The 21,384-nt window shown below is 46.1% G+C and overlaps 1 protein-coding gene across 3 annotated transcripts in view; it reads right to left on the bottom strand.

Moving 5' to 3' along the window:
* The window catches only part of RGS9 (regulator of G protein signaling 9), a 90,334-nt gene that overhangs the window by 12,320 nt on the left and 56,630 nt on the right, over window positions 1–21,384 (bottom strand). For 2 of the 3 annotated variants that reach the window (NM_003835.4, NM_001081955.3), the window contains exons 13-17: window positions 18,143–18,258; window positions 13,304–13,391; window positions 11,083–11,221; window positions 7,377–7,462; window positions 4,779–4,896 (exon numbers count right to left, since the gene is read on the bottom strand). In NM_003835.4, coding sequence (NP_003826.2) covers window positions 4,779–4,896; window positions 7,377–7,462; window positions 11,083–11,221; window positions 13,304–13,391; window positions 18,143–18,258 — 547 coding nt within the window. Of the gene's footprint in view, window positions 1–2,121; window positions 4,897–7,376; window positions 7,463–11,082; window positions 11,222–13,303; window positions 13,392–18,142; window positions 18,259–21,384 lie in introns of those variants that run through there. The other variant, NM_001165933.2, reaches the window with a different exon arrangement.

Raw genomic sequence — 21,384 nt, 5'->3', positions numbered from 1 at the left:
CCCCAACTGCTAACACAAAATCCAGTCCTCTTTCATAATCAATACCTTTCTTAACATCACCCTTGTCTTAGGAGGATCAAAATCTCTGGGTCTTCTTTAATTTCTTCCCCCACATCACCCCATTTCAATCGGGTCCTATCCACCTGCCTCCAGCATCTCTCTTCTTTCCTCTGAACCCACCACCACCCTCCTAATCCACACCTTCCTCTTGACAGAGACCACAGCAACCACTTCTTAACTCGTCTTCACTCCTCAGCTCCTGATTTCCAGTGTGCTGAAGCTCTTCAGACATCCAGCATACGAACTGCAAGCCCATGCTGTGTCTAGCCCTGAGACACAAAACCCCACAAGACACTAACTCTCCTTTTTAAGGAGTTTTACAGCCCAGTGAGAGAAAAAGACACATAAACAATGTTTCGATACAGTGCAGCATTCACAGACAGAGGTATGAGCAGAATGGAAGGAGAGCCAGAGAAGGGGCATCTAAATCAGCCAGGGGTGGATGGGGAGTGGCGCTTATGAGACTGCAGTAACGAGTCCACATTCCAGCCTTCCATGATACATCTTCAACCTAGCACCCTCCCAGCTTTGCTTCCTGGACCCTGTGCTCAGGGCCACCAAATGGTTATGCAAGCTGTGTGCTGCTCAGGGGCACCTGGCTGAGGGGCAAGGTGGGACTGAAATCCAGCCAGGTGTTATAAGGACACCTACTTGGAGGGAGCACCTTTTCCTGACCCAATAAGCTGCCTAGAGGCCAGCAGTAGCCGTGCCTGGGCTCTGCCCACATGCCCTGCAGTGCCCACTTCCCAATCTCTATCTGATGACACCCTACTCTCCTTTGAGACATACCTCAAGCACGCCTCCTCCAAAAACCTTATCATGATCCCCCAGCCAAACAATTCTCTCCCACCTCTGGGTTCCTCCAGCTTGTGGTCTCAATCAACAATCATCATCCTTGATCATCATCCAGTCTCGACTGCATCCTGCCTCCGGCTACAGCTGTTTGCATCCATGCACCTTGTCAGCCCCTTGAGGGCAGAGACCATTTTGTTCATTTTTGTATCCACCATAGCACTCACCACAGATTCTTACACAAAAAAGGTCTTTAAAATATATCTATGGGGCAGGTGCAATTGTTCATGCCTATAATCCCAGCACTTTGGGAGGCTGAGGTTGGTGCATCACTTGAGCCCAGGAAATCAAGACCAGCCTGGTCAACATGGCGAAACCCAATCTGTACAAAAAATACAAAAAATTAGCCAAGCCTGGTGGCGCACACCTATAGTCCCAGCTACCTGGGAAGCTGAGATGAGCGAATTGCTAGAGCCTGGGAGGTCAAGGCTGCAGTGAGCCATGATTGCACCACTGCACTCCAGCCTGGGCAACAGAGCAAGACCCTGTCTCAAACAAAAAATAAATAAATACATAAATAAAATACATCTATGAAGCATAAATGCTGCCATTTAGCCATGAAGCCATTTATATTCCTTCCTCTAGACAGATAGTGTTGAGACGCTCATGTCCTCATTCATTTAATAAAGAATGCTCATCTGCTTTGTTTACGTGCTGTGTCTCTCATTAGATTGTGAGATCCTGTGTGTCTCAACTTGAGCAGGCTTCCATCAATACACAAGGAGTCCCCGTATGAGCCTGACACAGAGCACATAGTAGCCTGTGGGAGAATGAGAGATAACTGGAGCACAAACCTGTGGCGAGTGAGACAAGAGATACCTGAGCCAAAGATGAACAAGACACAATCTGTGCCCTGTAGAAGCCACAATGCATGCGATGCCCACACCACCACCCTCACCACCACACTCACCACCACCCTCACCACCACACTCACCACCACCCTCAACAACATGCTCACCACCACCCTCACCACCAGGCTGCTGGGTATGTCATCTCAGCTCATATGGAGTAACCAAAAGGGACAGCAAATATTCTCTGGTTTCATGCTTCTCAAATGTTCCCATAAAAGTAGGCCACACAGCAGGAGAGCCCGAAAACACGTTCCCCCAGAAGTTGGAGGGCAGGGCCTGAGCCTGCCACAGCCAAGCACAAAATGCCTTTGATGTCTCAAATTGTATCTTTAAAAATTCATGTACATTTTACATTCTATTTCATAATATTTTCATGATTATTTTAATGTGAAACTTTTAGAAATTACCTAATTTTCCTCCCATTCCAAATCTTCAAGTAAAATGGATGCCCCAGCCCGGGTTCCCAGTCGGAATTCACAAAGTCTGTTTAGAGAAGTTTAGAGCTGGTCCTGATACCTCATTTCACAAATAAGGATGTAGAGAGGTTAAGTGACTTGTCCAAGGCTACATGACTAGTGCTAGAGCCAGGAACAGGAACCAGGAGGCTTTCTCCAAATCCAGGGCTCTTTTCATTCATTCATTCATTCTTTCATTCATTCATCCACTCATGTCATTCATGTTGGTGCAGAACCCCCTGGGTGTCAGGAATCAGGCTCCAAGTAATGAATGAGATAAATACAGTCCCTCCTCTCGTGTCACCCAGTTTACAATGGTTTACATTTCTACTTGGGGTACCTTCCAGAGTGGGAAGACTCCAAGATTCTCCAGAAGAGAGATGAGCAAAGCATATCCCTCCATGCACTTTCAGAGTGGAAACTGGTCTGCAACCAGTGCAAATGGAAAGTGTAAGTGTCCCTCTTCTGGGCTAGAATCATTTTGCTAACATGAAACCAGTGACCACAGACTCCTTAGAACAGCCTTGAAGGTCATCAATGATCTGGCCCCTGCCCACTCTCTAAACTCATCTTGCACAGTTTCCCCCTCACCCAGCAGGCTTCACTCACCTGGCCTTTCGGTTCACTCTGAGCTACTTCCCAGCTCTGAGCCTTTGCCCACACAGCCCTCTCTCCCCAGAACGTTCTCCCTGCCTGGTCCACATGCTCTTATGGCCAACTCTTTCTCATTCCCTGCTTCTCTGTCACCAGCTAGCAGGGGCATAGCCTACACACATCCCATCTTTCCTATCCCAGTACCACATTAATTTCCTTTATAATCCTTGGGCAGGCATTTGTGTTGTTAATTACAACAATGGCCCTCATTCTTCAACTTTCCCTGTCTTTTGCAACGAGACTTTGAAATTTCATCCATCTTTCGCCATGAGACTTTGAAATTTCTCTCACTAAAGAGGTAGAGTCTATTTCCTTGCCCCTTGAATCTAGGCTGGCTTTATGACTTTCTTTGGCCAATAAAATAAAGTAGAAGAGACTATGTGAAGCCTTGTGTGTTTCTACTTGCTCCCTTGCAATTCAGTCTTCAGCATGGGATTCTGCCTAGGCAAGACTGCTGGGAGAAGAGAGGTACATGAAGCAGAGAAAACTCATCTCACTCATCTCAGCCTAGGCCACTGCAACACTCCTAGACAGATGAGTGGACCCAGCCAAGATCCACAGAGCCACACAGATGACCCCACATGCATGAACAATGAACACTTGCTGAATGTTGCTCTATTTTTCTGGTTGATTGTCACACAGCAATAGCTACCTGATAGTTTGTTTAATTATTTTGTCTCAGTCCTAGACTAGAAGAAGCTCCATGAGAGAGAACCACGTCTGTTTTATTCACCGATGTTTGCACATAGTAGGTGCTCAATAGACGTGCTGAATGAGTGAGTATTCCTGCTTGGTCAGGCTGGTCTCTTGCTCACTTCTGTGCTCTATCTCTGTTGCATTCTTGCACAAGTGTAAGGAGTGAGCCTAACTTCGAGAATGACCTTCTAAACCCCCCAAGGTCAGTTAGAACTGTCCTCTCCCCCAGTCCTGACCACAGGGCTGACCTCGTCTACACCTACAGAAGAGGGAAGAATCAACATCTAGAAAATGTCCTAGAGAGTATCATCTCTGATCCTCACTCATCTCGATGTCTACCATCCTCTTCCCATGAATGAAGACATCAATGCCTTTGTTCTTTAGCCAAAAAGATGCTCCTCAGAGGGCCATTTGAGTCCTTCATTCCCGCAAGCCGCTTATTTCCCCAGCATGGACAAGGGGATGGGGAGATGGGAAGAAGAGAGCCCATCAACCCTCCAGTAATTATGACTAAGAACAAACTCAACAGGAGAAACGTCTCAGCAGGGTCTTTCCAGGCAGGCATAGCAGGGGAGTTCAGAGAAAGTACTTCCCTGCAACTAGCCCCTCGGCGGATCCTCAGAATGATTTGGAAACAATAGTCTAAATTAGAGAGATAGGATGAGGAGCTTCATAAAGCTATTTTAAACAAATCTCCCTGAAAAACACTAGGCCTTGGGTATGGGGAGAGGCCTTCTTTTTAATTTTCCAAAGCAGAGAGTGGTAGACAAAGCTCTCTCTCAGTGAGAGCTTTGTGTACCACTTTTCCCTATGGCTCTCACTGAGACAGCTTTTTCCCCCTGGCTCTTACTGAAAAAGTTCATAGTTCCCCTAAGAACTCTCTAAGGTACAATAGGCAGCCACACAGCAATTGAGTCAGGTGATCCCCTCTCCCACCCACCGCCTTCGCCCACCCTGTCCCCTGATGAGTGGGCTTGGGAGAACAAGCTCTGGTTGCTGTGGTATTAGGAAGTCCCCCATGAAGAAAGTTAGAGGAGTATGGGATGAACCTGATGACCTCCACAAATGGGGAATGGAACCTTCTAGACTCTGACCCTACCCTTCTTCATTTGCCTCTCCCAAGTGCATGACCCCACCCCCAGGAATCACAGATTTATTTAGGAGGCAGCTCTTTTTGGAGTTGGCTCCTGCGGTCCAGCTTGCTCATGACCTGGGTGATGTCCACAGTGTTGGCTGCTTCTCGGGCCTTGGCTTCCTCTTCCAGCTGTCTCAGGATGACAGGGCTTGGGCTGGAGCGCAGGTGACGCCGCATAAAAGGGAGGGTGGAGCTGGAAGGAAGGACAGATTGGTGGTTGGAGGAAAATGACACAGCTTGCCCAACACTGACCCTGTCACACTTGATGGGAGCTGGGGCTGGAAGGTCCAGAATCTATATTTTGTTCCCTCCTTTTTCCAGTGAACCTCCAGTGGGGTCCAACCTTGGCTCCTTTCTCCCCACTTGGAGGATGAGACCAGAGTGAGTACCAACTGCCATCAGATTTTAGGTCAGGCACAAGGAAGACCCTTTTGTTGGCGAAGTTGCATTGAACTTCTACAGTATGTAGAAATCAATTTGTTATCTTAACTTTTTGTAACATCTTCATGAAAGAAGTGGATAATGAAGGCTTGGGTACTGGAGAGAGTTGGAGCATTTGTTTATTTTCTTTTCTTTTTTGGGGCGGTTGGGGGGTGGGCAGCGGGGACAGAGTCTCTCTGAATCACCGAGGCTGGAATGCAGTGGCACGACTTCGGCTCACTGCAACCTCCATCTCCCAGGTTCAAGCCATTCTCATGCTTCAGACTCCCAAGTAGCTGGGACTACAGGCATGTACTACCACACCAGGCTAATTTTTATATTTTTAGTAGAGGCAGGCTTTCACCACGTTGGCCAGGCTGGTCTCAAACTCCTGACCTCAACTGATCCATCCGCCTCAGCCTCCCAAAGTGCTGGGATTACAGGCGTGAGTCACTGCGCCTGGCTGGAGCATTTGTTTTCAAAAGCTATGGTTCTGGGAAGGAAGGAAAGAGCTGGACTGTCCAAAATAGCTAGGCCCCAGTGAACAGAGAAAGAGGGAAGAGGCCTGAAGAGGGCTGGTGGGCTGGTGGTACCCTGCTCATGTGCAATATCTTGACACATGCCAGAACCTTCTTCAAAGCCAAACTGGATTCCTGGAACCAAACTCTCCCTGCCATGGCCTTAGGAGCCAGGACAAAGCTCTAGGTATCCAAGTGATGTAGTGGGCAGTGAGCAGTGGAGCCCACCTGCCTTTGAGGGCCCACGTAAGCTTGGAGCCAAGAACTTCAGCAGCAATAAGAGACAAAGACCTGCAACATACTCCATATTTCTGGACTACATAAGCCCCTTGACTACATAAGCCCCTTGAACTCTTATATCTATCTTAAGGAGAAGAAGGGCTCCCCTACCAGGATGTAAAGCCTGACACTGACATTGGATTTCTCACCAGCCCTGCCAAGAGGAAGGCTTGGAGCTAGGGGTAACTTGTCATGCAAAAATTGAGTTTGAATACATTGTCTTATACCTGGGATCATGGAACAAAATTCACACCCACTGTAGTCCTGGTATGGACACAGACCAGGCTTCACACTTTACGAATGCATTCACGTGTAATTCTCACTCACAATAGTGAGAATTCTCACGTCTGCCCCAACTTCTAAAATATCTGGAGAGAGAGGTATGAGACTCCTCTTTTGTCCCCTCATTACTTTCTGGCAGAACTACTGGAGCTATTACAGGCCTTTCTTCTGGCTTAAAGTAGAAGCTTTTAAGTCCCCAGGGGCACTGAACTCCCTTCCTTACTTGGTAAACCCAGAAGAATAGCACCACAAAGACCTTCTTTCTCTCCTTTTCATAACAGGGCCATTATCCTCAAGAATGAAGCCAAGTTGGTTTTTTTTGTTGTTGTTGTTGTTTTTTCTCCTTTGATAAAGGCTCTGGTCCGGCCATCCCCCTTTTGAATTGATGGAAGATGCTGGAAAGGAGCCCAGTGTGGGTTGACCCAGCAAACAGGGGAACAGTCACTCACTTTGGGGGGGACAGGACACACGATTGCCAGTGGAAAAACCTCTGCCAAAGCCTTACAGTTTTGTTCAAGCTGCCATTCAATTTATATTTTAAATCTTCAATCCTTGTAGATTGAATTCCCCCGGAAAAGAGTTCAATCTGCCCCTCAGGACATTATTTCGTCCATTGTCCCAATGGCTCTACCAGATGAGATGATCCACATCTCCAATGAGAAAAGTGAGAATGAACAAGTTCATGGACTTCTAAAACATGGTCCCCGGAGGCAGCAAGAATACCTAGCCCGTTACTGTCCGTTTCCCCTTCACTGAGCATTTTCTCTTGGGGTGCAATCTGCTATTCTCTCTAAGGTCTTAGAACAATTTAAATACAAGGATGTACCTTAATTAATTCCCATACATCAGTTTGGAGGTAACGAGTAGCAGTTAAAAAACCAAGGAGAAGCTTCCATTTGTGATAAGGGTAATTATTGGTCTGATCCTCTAAACTCTTTCAAGCCAGCTTTAGGGGAAACAAAACTTAGTGGTGGTAATTACTAAGGAAATCTTGCTAGAGTGATTTCAGGGCATTATGAAGCAAATGAGGCACTCATTCCCTGAGCAATACTTCCCAGTCCCCAATATTTTCATCAAGCAAATATCTCCATAATAGCCATTTGGCTGAAAGAGACCCTCACTTCTCTGTAAACTAAGCAGCAGGCAGCCAGCAATTACAGATAATTCCACTTGCCTTTTCTTGGTGGTTTCCTGAGGTTCAATAGCTTTGGCCAGCATGTCCTTATAGATCGGAGATTTTAAATAGCGAGCATAAGAATCCTAGTGGGAACAAGAAAACAACAGTAATTATGAGAGAAAAAAGCAGTCAAATCAAACCAATACCCTTGCCATTTTCAAGCCTCCCTTGGCAGTAGAATGGAAAAGTTATGAGAATTTGTCTCCTTGGGTGAAAGGTGTTGGGGGAGGTGTTGAGAGCAGTGGTTCTCAAGTGTGGTCCCCTCCAGAAGCATCAATTTCACCTGGGAACTTCTCAGGCCTGCCCCAGCCGTCCTGATGAGAAACTCTGGGAGTGATTCACCCTGAGCCTGAACAGTCTCAGGTTTTACAGCTCACAGCTTCAGATCCTATCAACATTGTCTGTGATTCAGCCTATGTTGTAAATGTAGCCAGTTGCATAAAAGCTGCTACAGTTAAAAGTACACTAGACCCAGAACTGCTTAATTTGTTTCACTTATTCTCATATGCTGCATGCTACATGCCAAACAGGTGAGACAGCTGGTCATGTATGGAGACATTGCCTGTCATCATTTGTTCACATGAGGACACCTAAACAATTAACAATTAACAACTACCTGAACAGTCTCCAGGTAATTCTGCTGCACCTTTAAGTTTGAGAATTACAGTCTGTAACCCTACACATGAAGATCCACCTTGGAGTGGTTCAGTGAAGCCAGCATGAGACAAGAGCACATCTGACCTCTCCTCTCCAAGACTTTCTTCCAAGGAAGATGAGCAGCCAGGAGTATGGAGCCCACTTCTAAGCCATTGACATCCCTTTCTGCCCTGTGTTTTGGGTGTAAAGGCAAGAGAATACCAAAGCAAAAACAAAAACAACCAACGCGTAGAGTCCAGTTATGGGGCTGTTTACTGGGACTCTGGGCAATTTCAGAGAAGCTTCATGAATGCTCGTTACTTTTAAGCGAGCGGAAAACTCTAGTCATACCCAATATGGGACAAAGGCCACTGCAACAAACCAGGGATTGAGGTATTTTAAAAATTTATTGAAATGGCACTATTCTAAAGACTAAGTGGGAGCAGTAAAAGTTATGAGAACTAGGATAGAGTCTAGGAATAGGGACCATGGAGCCACTGGGATACGTTGAGTGTTTCACCATAGGACATAGCTGTAATGGCATATAGGGAGTCCAGTGGGCATATATGCCATTCTTTTCTGCAGTTACCAATGACTGTTCCATTCTGGCTAGTAACTGGCCTCCCTGGGCATCCCCTAAAAAGCCGTATGAAAACTACAGGTTTTTTTGTTTGTTTGTTTGTTTGTTTTTTGAGACGGAGTTTCACTCTTTCGCCCAGGCCGGATTGCAGTGGCACGATCTCAACTCACTGCAACCTCCACCTCCCAGGTTCAAGTGATTCTCCTGCCTCAGCCTCCTGGGTAGCAAGATTACAGGCATCCACCACCACGCCCAGCTAATTTTTGTATTTTTGGTAGAGACGGGGTTTCACCATGTTGGCCAGGCTGGTCTCAAACTCCCGACCTCGTGATCTGCCCACCTCAGCCTTCCAAAGTACTGGGATTACAGGCGTGAGCCACTGCGCCCAGCCGAAAACTACATTTTTAAGAACCAAAACGTTTTAAAATACATTAAAGAGGATTATTATTAAAGAAACCCTGCTGTGAATCGTCTAGTAACAAAAACAAAGAGACAGCCACTGATTCAAAACACACAGAAACACCCCACTGATTCAAAAAATGATGAAAATGGCTAATCTGGCTTGGCGGCAATTCTAAATTATTACATGCTTTAAAAACAAAGTAAAAATACTTTTAAATGATACAATAAAAGACTAAATAGAAGAAATATAAATCAGGAAAGCTAATCAGCATTTACCATTCACACAAACCTATATACATAACCTATATCATATAACCTATATCACATAACCTATATCACACAGCCTATATCACATAGCCTATATCATATAAACCACATCATATAACCTATCTCATATAACCCACATCATGTAACCTACATCATATAATCTATATCATATAACCTATATCACATAACCTATATCAGATAGCCTATATCACACAACCTATATTATATAACCTATATCACATAACTGATACCACATAATCTATATCACATAACCAATATCACATAACCTATATCATATAATCTATATCATATAACCTATATTACATAATCTATATCACATAACCTATATCATATAATGTATATCATATAACCTATATCACATGACCTACATCAGATAGCCTATAACACATTACAATCTATAACATATAACTCATATCATATAATCTATCTCATATAGCCTATATCACATAACCTATATCAGATAGCCTATATCACATTATAACCTATATCATATAACCTACATCATGTAACCTATGTCATATAATCTCATATAACCTATATCATATAACCTATATCAAATAGCCTATATCACATAACCTATATCATATAACCTGTATGACATAGTCTATCTCATATAAGCTATATCACGCAACCTATGTCATATAATCTATCTCATATAACCTATATCAGATGGTCTATATCACATAACCTGTATCACATAACCAATATCCATAACCTATATCACATAATCTATCTCATATAACCTATATCACATAACCTATATCAAATAGCCTATATCACATAACCTATATCCTATAAAGATACTTTGCCCTTAAAGAAATCATTGCCATAATGAGAAGTTGAAGCACCCAAAGAAAGTCTTGTCAAGGATGGCACCAAAGAAGAATCAAACTAGACAAGTTCTTTAAGGCTAACTCTGAGCCTCCGATTCTAGTTTCTTAAGAAAATGATTGATTTTTCTCTCAGGTACCCTTCACATATTTTTTTTTAAATTCCCACCGCATTCGCACTTTGTTAATAATCCAGAGGGCTATCTAAATTCTCACAGGGTCTTACTACAATCACACACACACAAATTTGTCTCTCCTAGACACTACGCCTCTATGTGTAATATTTGCCTGGGGCCAGGGTGGTGAGAATTGCCATCACTCTGCAGCAGAAACTAAGAGCTCGGCCTTGAAACCCAGGCAGACCTGGCTATGAATCCCAGCCCCATCTCTGGTGAGACCTTGACCAAGCCACTAGATTCTGGAGCAGCAAAGCCTAACTTGTGGGCTGTCTTTGAGCATAAAGTTCTGTGTTTCGCACAGCGACTGCACCTTGTAAGCCCTCAACGAATGATGGCTGTTATTATAATGTTGTCATTACTAATGCCATTACTCCTACCTGTCTACTGCTGCAGAGTGGGGCCCGTAAGGATGCACACAGCTTCTACAGGAGTTCCTCTAGGCCCGTGGGTGAGGGGCTCAAGGCAAGTCCACCCCAGTGGACAGGTGGAAGAGACGGTTGACAATTCTGGGGTTTTTCTCTTTCTCTCTCTTTCTTTTTTATATAAAGACAGGGTCTCACTGTGTTGCCCAGGCTGGTCTCAAACTTCTGGGCTCAAGATATCCTCCCATCTCAGCTTCCCAAAGAGCTGGGATTACAGACATGAGCCCCCATGCTTAGCTGCATGCCACAACCGGCAAAGCTCTATCCACGTATCCTCTCTCTTTTTCCTATATCTAAAGAATTTTCCGGGTACTTAGTGACAGAAAGCCTATCTGGACCCCGTATCCACAGCACGGACCCACCTACCTTCTTCATGAGCATGTAAATGTGGGTTTGTGCGGCGTCCAGCACATAGCGGTGGGGGTGCTTCAGCCCCTTCACTGTGATGTCCATGGTTTTGCCATCTATGTTGATCCAGCGCCTCGCCCCCGGGGCCAGGAACAGCCTGGGGTGGGAGGGAGATGTTAGCAAAAGTAACTAAACCAAGTCAATTCATGGATAGCTCACAGCTGCTTGGGAGGGAAGGACTGATACGAATCGGTTACCGAGGGTGAGGGTGGTGGTTTTTTTAGGAGACACTAAAGAGCATGAACTTTTGAAGAGGTTGTCAAGCAATTTTTCCTTGAAGCAAGAAACTTCCAGTATTGGGAATATGAATATTTAACTTTGATGTTTCCAACCTCCAGGAGAGAGAGCAAGAAGGGGCTGGGGCCCAGGTCGGATTAGGTCCTGGCCATGAGGGTGAAGAACTCAGCCTCCAACTTCACACCTTCTGCACCAGGATTCCAGGGGCAACCTGGGACCAGGCTAAGACACCTTCACACAGGTGTTCTGGGGGTCTCTGCTCTCCTCCCAACCCACATGTGCTTTGTAATGAATTTCACATGCTGTGTCGAGAGGCAGCCCATAGTCCCAGAACCCAGAGGTCTGACCCGCTGGGCAGACAGGCCAAGGCTCCCAATTAGACCAAACTTGGCCACACTTCCTGAGCCCGTGGCTCTACCTGGGATGTCGGGATGCAGAGCTCTCTCAGTATTTCCAGTTCTGAGCTGTTGCTGAATTAGAAATACTCATATGAATATTTTCCTACCTTTCTAAGATGTACATTAAAATTTTGGAATTGAAACTGAGATTTACATAACATAACCAGGGAGCCTGGGGAAGGAAACTGGTCTAATGGCAGAGGCAGCGGGCTTCCTGTAGCAGATTTTTGGAATCAGGAGTTGTGTGTGCGTCACTGTGTGTAAGGCAATCAGGCACCCATTGTACTGCAAAGGATGTCATGGAAGCTTCCCGGACCGACAGCCCTCCCCACTGCACCCCACCCGCACCCCCATTTCTCTCAGCGCATGGATCCCCTCCCTGTGGGAGGAGCTGGGCAAATTTGCAATAGAGTGTATGAACCTCTAAGTATAAGAAGAAGTGAGACCTCAAGCTTTTCTCTTCAATGCTGCTGGTGCTTCTCTGGAAACCGGGGTGTTGCAATCTGAGTTCATTTGCAGGAAGGACATCCAGGGTCCAGAGGCTAAGTCCTCAGAGGGAAGGGGCTGTTTGGCCTGCTGCCCAAAGTTCAGCACCACAGTCTGGTGACTGCAAAGGGCTGGTTCCAGCCCAGCGTGGTGCTTGGGCTTTGGGCAACACGGCTAAGCATGTGAGTATGAACTAACAATGCTGGGCCCTCAGTATCCAGGACTCATGTCCACTGCAGCCAGTGCAGATGAAAGGACCCACAGAGATGGGACCACAGCAGGACAGGAGCACCCACCAGGCCTGTAGGGGGAGGAGTGTTGGGGAGGGGGAGTGTGGCTTTCAGCAACCTTGGGAGCCTCATCACACCTTCCCCTCCCTCTCCACCTGGCCATTGAAAACAGGACTGACCCTTTTAACCTGGAACTCTTGGCTTTTGTGTAATTTGGAGGAGAGACAGTCATGGAGAGGGACAGACTTATTGCTGCTCAGAACAAGTGGGGGCTGGAGCCGTGATGTCAGGAATGAGATGTGCCCACCCATGTTTGTACCCCAAGCTGCGCTCACTGTCCCAGACATGTGGGAGGAGCTCCCTTCCCCTGTGTTCCTCACATCTCTAAGGAAGCGTGAGGAATAGGTTTCCCATCTTGCTGCTTCTTCTCTCTCTCTCTCACTCTCTCTCTCTCTCTCTCTCTCACACACACACACACACACACACACACACACACACACCCCTCAGGACACCTAAGAAGGCTTTAGTCAAAGACAGAGCACTCTGCACTGTAATTCGGGACAGCTTGCTTTTTTAACCCCTAGACACATTCCCATAGGAACAGGTGACTCACACTGCATGTCTCACCAGGCTTTCTTCAGGGAACCCCCAAACCTCCCAAAGCAGCGGGGAACTATTTCTAGCATGGCAAGTACAGTGAACTGATGCTGACCAGGGCCCAGCCAGCTACCAGGCTGTTGTCCTCTCATCCTATCTTCACCTCAAGCACAATGGGGTGGTCCTCAGAGGCCCAAGGGAAGGCTTTCCAGCACCCTGGCTGATGCTCACTTGTAAATCTCCTCTGCTTTCTCCTTGACTTTGGACTGATCTCCATACTTCAGATCCTCGCAGGCTTCCCAGAATCCCAGATTCTCTCCTGCATGGTGAGAAGTCCACGTGGATGAGGGCCGGGCAGGAAATAAGTTGGAAGAAGAAAAGAGGAAATAAAAGAAATGAGTCAACCGGGATGGATTCCATTTCCCAGCTCAGTGAACACCTTTCCTGCCGCAGAACAAGCTATTGCACATTGTGATGCTAGACAACAATACTCCTTGGGGAAAGGAGCCACATCTTCACTTCTACGGCCTGGAAGAACATTGGGAACTTAGTAATTGCTCAATACGTGGCCTTAGAAATAAACTAGATTGGCACCTACCATGTTTGCAGCAATGCATTCACACCGTGGCAGCTTCCTTTCCTCCAACAATACACAGGCCAGAGTTCATATCACCCCCCAGAGGTTGTCGTACTCTTTTTTATTCTAGAATTTGGCTGTAGGAAATATTGCTTGAACGAGCTCGCACATGAATAGGCTTCTATACATGCGTTGCTACGCTACGGTTTTCTACATCAAGACCTCCTTCCTTTGCTCCCGTTGAATGACTGAGCGTGAGTTCTTCCTCCTTTGTTTGGCTGTGCTTAGAGAACCCATCATTTGCAGTCCCTCACCAGACATATTCCAGGCCAACGGTTCTTACAGAGAGGCTGTTCAAGAAGCAGTGCTGATGGACTGACCCTCAGGGAAGGTCTGGCCAGGAGCAGGACTGAACTGAGCATCACCTGAGCCAGAGGGGATTGGCCCAGAAGGAAAAGCCAGGTTCCCCCAAATCCTTCATCTCCCTCCAACTCGAGGTTCTCTAACCTGCAGCGTCCAGAGGTACCACGCATATGTTCATACAGTGGTCCCAGGTGGTGATTTTTGCCTGGGAAAATAAAGACGATCACAAGAGAGAGCAAGTGTGTGTGTGTCTGTGTGTGTGTGTGTGTGTAAATCGTGGAGTGTGTCACAGTGTGGGGAAATGAACAACAAAATCCTCTCCTCTCTTTTCTCAGTACAGTTGACCTTGAACAATTAAGGGGTTAGGGCGCAGACCATTATGCAGTAGAAAATCCAAAAACTTAACTACAAATAGCCTACTGTTTACCAGAGGCCTTACTAATAACATAAACAGTCAATGGACACATAAGTGGATATGTATCTACATATATATTTTATGGATTCATGATACCTTTTCATAACTTTTTTCTATTTCTAGGCTATGCAGTTCATCTGCAAGTTTTTTCAGATTGTTGCAAATCCCCCCAAGTTTTTAAATATATTTACTGAAAAAAAAATCCACCTATAAGTGGTCTCGTGCAGTTCAAACCAGTGTTGGTCAAGGGTCAACTGCATTTTTTTAAAAGCTCCTGGGTGCTTCATATTAGAAAAGGCTGCACAATTTTAAACTAGTTGGCATTTGTCCCATAGCTCTATAGAGGTCCTTCCTTTTCAGCATGAACTTTAGGGCGTTCTTTGGACTGAGATCACAGACCAGTGATGCTCTCAACTAAAATGTAACTGATCTGACAAAAGTGCCATGTAAACCATCTTGCCCATAGCAAAAGACAGTTGATTGCTTAGTAAAATTAAATAAGCAATTATTCGTGATAGCCAGTAAGTGGAAAGCACTCAGATGTCCATCGATAAAAGAATGGATGAACAAAATATGGTGAAGACTACAAGGGAATATCATTTGGCCTTAAAAAGGAAGAAGATTTCGGCTGGGCATGGGTGGCTCACGCCTGTAATCCCAGCACTTTGGGAGGCTGAGGGGGGCGGATCACAAGGTCAGGAGTTCGAGACCAGCCTGACAAACATGGTGAAACCCTGTCTCTACTAAAAATACAAAAATTAGCCGGCCGTGGTGGCGGGCGCCTCTAATCCCAGCTACTCAGGAGGCTGAGGCAGGAGAATTGCTTGAACCAGGGAGGCAGTGGTTGCAGTGAGCCGAGATGGTACCATTGCACTCCAGCCTGGGCGACAGAGCAAGACTCCGTCTCAAAAGCAAATGGTTAAAATGGTAAAATTTATGTTACATACGTTTTCCCACCAAAAATATTAAATGAGCACACAAAAATATGTACACCAAAGTTCATAGCAGCATTATTCATAACAGCTAAAAAGTCAAAGCAACCCAAATGTTCATTAACTTACAAATGGATAAGCAAAATGTGGTACATACAAACAAGGAAATATTATGGGGTCATTAAAAAGGAATGAAGGAAATATTATGCAGTCATTAAAAAGGAACCACGTGGCCAGGCGCAGTGGCTCACGCCTGTAATCCCAGCACTTTGGGAGGCCGAGGCGGGTGGATCACCTGAGGTCAGGAGTTTGAGACCAGCCTGGCCAACATGATGAAACCCCGTCTCTACTAAAAATACAAAAATTAGCTGGGCATGGTGGCGGGCGCCTGTAATCCCAGCTACTTGGGAGGCTGAGGCAGGAGAATCACTTGAACCCGGGAGGCAGAAGTTGCAGTGAGATGAGATCACGCCACTGCGCTCCAGCCTGGGCGACAGAGTGAGAATTTGTCAAAAAAAAAAAAAAAAAAAAAAAAAGGAACAGAAGCGCTGTTATATGCTGAAACACAGACAAGCCTTGAAAACATTATGCTAAGTGAAAAAAGACAAAAGGTCACATATTGCATGATTTCGTTTACATGAAATGTCTTGAAGAGGTGAATCCGTAGGGGTAGAAAGTAGATTTGTGGTTGCCTAGGGCTGGGGTGCAGGAGAAGCAGGAATAGAAGATGATTCTAATGGGTAAAGAGTTTCTTTTTAATGTGGCAAAAATGTTCTAGAATTAGTGATGATGGTTGCACAATTTAGTGAATACACTAAAACCCCTGAATTGTACACTTTTAAAAAGTTAATTTCATCATATGCAAATAATATTTCAATTTAAAAATCTTTTTAAAAAGTAAATGAGCAAATTGATGATTTATCTGCCCTGTTCATACCTAAAGCCTCAGGAATCTCATGAGGAGATTGCTAATAATACGGTTTAAATAATGCAGGGAAATCTTTTCGCTGGATTCTCACTAAGGAATTAGTGGGGGGGAGATAATAAATTCAGGGTGTATGTTGTCACTTTGCCACTAGATGGCACTATAACCACTTATTCGCCAGTCCATCCATCTTTTCTGGGTTTTGTTCTAGAGCAGCAATTAGACTTGATTAGGGAGATGATTATCAACAATCCATATTATCATGTAATGTTTTGCATCCGGCAGTCAGCCAGGCTAAAGGCATGTCCAGTAGGATTCGTTTCTGGAGCAGTGCCACAGACAAGTGGATCTTGGGTAGTAAGCAGCTGAGTGTCAAGGCTCAGGAGTGATGCCCCCAGGGCTGGGTACTGAGCAAGGAAGTAAAAGAATCCCGTAAAGGTAAATATTTCAATGAAGGTGGTGAATGCACAGCCTGGTTCTGATCTGGCCTCGTGTTTTTTTGTGGATGCTTCTCCGGGAAGTGCAGTATATTTAAAAAGCCACAGTCCTGGTGCAGTGGCTCACGCCTGTAATCCCAACACTTTGGGAGGCCGAGGCAGGTGGATCACTAGAGGTTAAGAGTTCGAGACCAGCCTGGCCAACATGGCGAAACCCTGTCTCTACTAAAAATACAAAAATTAGCCAGGTGTGGTGGCACGTGCCTATAGTCCCAGCTACTTGGGAGGCTGAGGCAGGAGAATCACTTGAACCTCGGAGGCAATGGTTGCAGTGAGCTGAGATCATGCCACTGCACTTCAGCCTGGGCAACAGAGCGAGACTCCATATCAAAAAAAAAAAAAAGTCACAGTTCCCCTCATGAGGTGACATTCAGAGATGGGACAAAATGTGGCCCTGCCCATTTCACTAAAATCCACACCCTCCTAAGGCCCTGAAGAAATCAGGCCAGGAGCTAAGGTGATGGCTGTCAATCACCACACATTGGAATCATCTGGGGAGTTTCCAAAACTTCAAGGATTCCAACCCCCACCAATTTAAAAGCAACTTTAGGGATGAGATCCAGGAAAACATGTTTTAAAATATCCCCAGGCAGACTGAATGTGTAGAACCACTGAGCTAAAGAGAATCAGGAAGCCAGGCGCAGTGGCTCACGCCTGTAATCCTAGCACTTTGGGAGGCTGGGGAGGGCAGATCACCTGAGGTCAGGAGTTTCAGACCAGCGTGGCCAATATGGTGAAACCCCATCTCTACTCAAAATACAAAACAATAGCCAGGTGTGGTGACAGGCACCTGTAACGCCAGCTACTTGGGAGGCTGAGGCAGGGGAATCGCTTGAACTAGGGAGGCGGAGGTTGCAGTGAGCTGAGATCATCCCACTGCACTCCAGGCTGGGCGACACAGCAAGACTCTGTCTCCAGAAAAAAAAAAAAGAAAGAAACAAAGAAAAAAGAAAATCAGGCTGGGAGACAAAAAGAGAAAGAAAGGGAAAGCCTGCCTGTCTCCCTTCCCTTCCTCCAGGTTCATTATATTTAGAGGCTGACTAGAAGGAGCGGGGGCTCCTCGGGTGACAGTGGGGGCATCCAGGATGGATGGAGCCCTCAGAAATGTGAGGGATCCTGATGTAGATTCTGTGAGCAGGTGCAATTTTCCCCCAGACGGTGGGGCCTCTTTGAGTCTATGGAAAGAACGAGTCTTGGGCTCAGGTCCCATTCTTAAAGCTGTGAAAGGAAGCAACTGTTTAAGGGCATAAGCAAAGCTCTGAAAACATCTGCTGAGAAATTCCCCAAACCCTAGGCTAGACATTAAAGGACTCTTTCTAAAAGTAAGTTATTTTAATTTTTTTTTGTAAACAAAGACCCACCACTGAATTCTTTCTTGAGGAAGTACTGGAAGCTCTGTCGACCTTTGGGGTCTCGGATCAATTCGCTGAAGTTGAAGGCCCATCGTTCCACTCGCATCTTGGTTGGGATTTCCACCCTGCAAGGATGATTTGTAAATGCACCAGAGAGGTAGCGGTTGTGACAGGTGGTGGCCTGGGTTGGGGTGAGGGCCTTTAGTCTCATGGCCCAGGGCTCAATTCAATCCTCCTCCTCCCAATCCCTGCATAACACACAAGCCAAGTAATCACTTGCTAGGAAGATGCAGCCACAGACAAGTCCCCCGGGGCTCACATCAAAGACATGACCATCCCAGAGGTGAGGAGGATGCCCACCGTGGGGAGCCCACACTCAGGTCCTGCTCACTTAACCTTAAGGACAAACGAATTCAAATGCCTCCTCCAAGGCATGGTAACAGCCTGGAGCCTGGCCAGCAGAGGGTCAGGCTGCCACCTGGACTAGGAGAGAATTCTGGAGCAGCATTGGTGATGGGTGCTACAATCACTGCCACCTGCTGGGTGCCTATCACCCACGACAGCTGCCCCCCTACCATGGCACACCCTGGCTTCTGGTGGGAGCCGGTGGCTCCTCCTGTACCTGCCTCAGGCCATGTGCCTCGGAGTAGACCCATTTGCCATCTCTGCACTCCCTTTCAGGGCTTCCTCTAAGATGCAGGTCCCACTGCACCTCCTTGTTTGGAAAGATTTCCCTGATCCCAGGTAGGATATTCGAGCCCAGCTAGCAGAGATCTAACATTCCAGAGAATCAGAAAAAGACTCAGTGTTCTCTCCTATCCCTTATGGAATTCTCCTAAACCTAACACAGACCTTTGAAACTAAGGTTTCAAGTCCCTCACACCATTTTTCCCACTGATGTAGCAGCTAGGACCAGAACCAGGCACAATTCATGTCTATGGGATCCAAGATAAAGCATGCCAAGCAAGTTTTACACTTTCCATAAGAACAAGTGTACAAACAATAAGAAAACTGATAACATTAACAACTGCCATTCACAAAGCATTGTCCTATGTGAGGTACTGTGCGTTACACACATACCATCGAATCCTTAAAAGAACACTATGAATTGAGTATTACTATCCCATCTCATTGTCAAGAAAACTGAGGCTCAAAGAGATTAAATACTTGCCAAGTCTCACATAATTAGTAAGAAGCTGAGTTGTGATGACGACAGTGGTTTGCAAACTTCCACATGCATCAGAATCACCTGGAAGATGCATTGAAACAGATTGCTGGGTCCCAACCTCAGAGTTTCTGATTCAGTAGGAGTGGGTGGGGCCCAAGAATACGCATGTCTGACAGGTTCCCTGGTGCTGCGGATGCCGCTGGTCCAGGGCCCACACTGGGAATCAACGCTGTAAACCAGCCTAAGAATCCTGGCTGTTTGTGAAAATCAGCAGAGCTTTCAAAAAACGCTGATAGTGGTGAGACAGCAACCCAGGCCAACCAAATAAGAGGTTTGGGAGGATAAGGCCTGAACGTTGATGTTTTTGTTAAGCTTCCCCAGTAATTGTAATACTGTTCTAAAATCTAAACCATTAAGAACAAGACTTCCCGCTTTCATGTGAGCTAAGCTATGAGGATGCAAAGGCTTATGAATGACACGATGCACTTCGGGGACTCAGGGGAAAGGGGTGAAAAGGGAGTGAGGGATATAAGACTAAAAACGGGGTTCAGTGTACGCGGCACAGTTGATAGGTGCACCAATAAAAATATATATATACATATACTTACAAATACATATATGTGTATATATATATTTGGTTCAATAAACATATAGGATCCACAAAAAAGAACAGGGCTTCCCACTTTAATGGGGAGTTCCAGTTGTCACCCACCCAGTGCCCTCTGATCAACGGTTCTTACACAGAACACACATTTTTCTTCTTGCCAGCAATCTCTACCTGTCTTCAATACCATGCTCCCCATTTTATTTAAAATTCAGCGGCCATCCATCTCTCCTCCCCAAGCCCTCCTAGGACAACCCTCTTCCTGGCCAGATTCCCTGCCTTCTCCTCCAGGGAGAGCCAGCGTCCGCACATGCTTGTCCACAGGCAGACACAGGTCGCCTCTCTCATTCAGTACGCTGGGAGGCAGACATGGGCTGCAGAGAAGCACCCCAACAGCCAGAGCCCAAAGAGGATAAGGGAAGCCTCCCCAGAAGGTAGTTCTAGAGTCTTTGGCTCTGCAGTTGACCTTAGTAGACAGGGGACCCCTGACTCCAGAGGAGTGGCCTCCTTAACCTGTTGGCTGCCCAGAGCGGGCCACGTGGAATAGGTACCAGTGTTGCTTAAGATGAGAATCAGGGCCCTCCCAGGCCAGGCCTGCTTACCCAGCTGGGTCAGTGTCACCTGTGTGTTCCTCATGGCCTCGGCAGTGTTGACCCAAGCTGTGACCTATACCTGGCACTCCTTCCTTTCCCATCACCCCACCTCCCTCACACACTCAGGCCTGTCCCTTCTCCCCTGTCCTCCTCTCTCTCTCCCTCTAATTTGACCATTACACCCTTCTCTTCTTCCTCCCTCTGTGTGCCGGAACTCTCCTGTGTTTCTGCCTCTGCCCCCTCTTCCAAATAACACAAGCGTGCAGGTCCAGTGAGCAATGACTATTCAAAACTGACAAAAAAAAGCCAAAGGGTAAGGGAAAGGGCAGGTTTAGGGCCCTGCCCGCCCAGAACTTAAGTTTACGCTAATTAGATATCAAACATGCAAAGCCATACATATGATTTTTTAATTTTCAAAACCAATCTGTTGTTAAACATAGAGTCACCATTTGACTCAGCAATTCCACTCCTGGATATACACCCGAGAGAAATGAAAATATGCCCACACAAAAACCTGCCCACGAATGTTCATAGCCGCATTCTTCATAATAGCTAAAAGGCAGAAACCACCCAAATGTCCATCAGCAGATGAATGGATAAACAAACTCTAGTGCATCCATACCATGAAGATGATTCAACCATAAATGGGAATGAAGTTCTGATCCATGCTACAAGATTCGTAAACCTTGAAAACATGATGCTAAGTGAAAAAAGCTCGTCGCAAAAGACCCCATAGTCTTTCCTAGATTTCCTAGAAGCGCAATACCCAAGAGATGAAATCAATACACAGGTCAACTGACCAGCCTGTCCTCTTTTCCTGTATCGATTTAGTGACATACTTATTACTGTCTTCTTAGAAACTTGCTCGAATCGAGTAGCCCTTGGG

The sequence above is a fragment of the Homo sapiens genome, chromosome 17 (genome assembly GCF_000001405.40).
Source record: "Homo sapiens chromosome 17, GRCh38.p14 Primary Assembly".
Classification (NCBI taxonomy): Eukaryota; Metazoa; Chordata; class Mammalia; order Primates; family Hominidae; genus Homo; species Homo sapiens.
The sequence above is the reverse complement of the archived record's forward strand: the minus strand, read 5'-3'. Positions and strand labels throughout refer to the sequence as shown.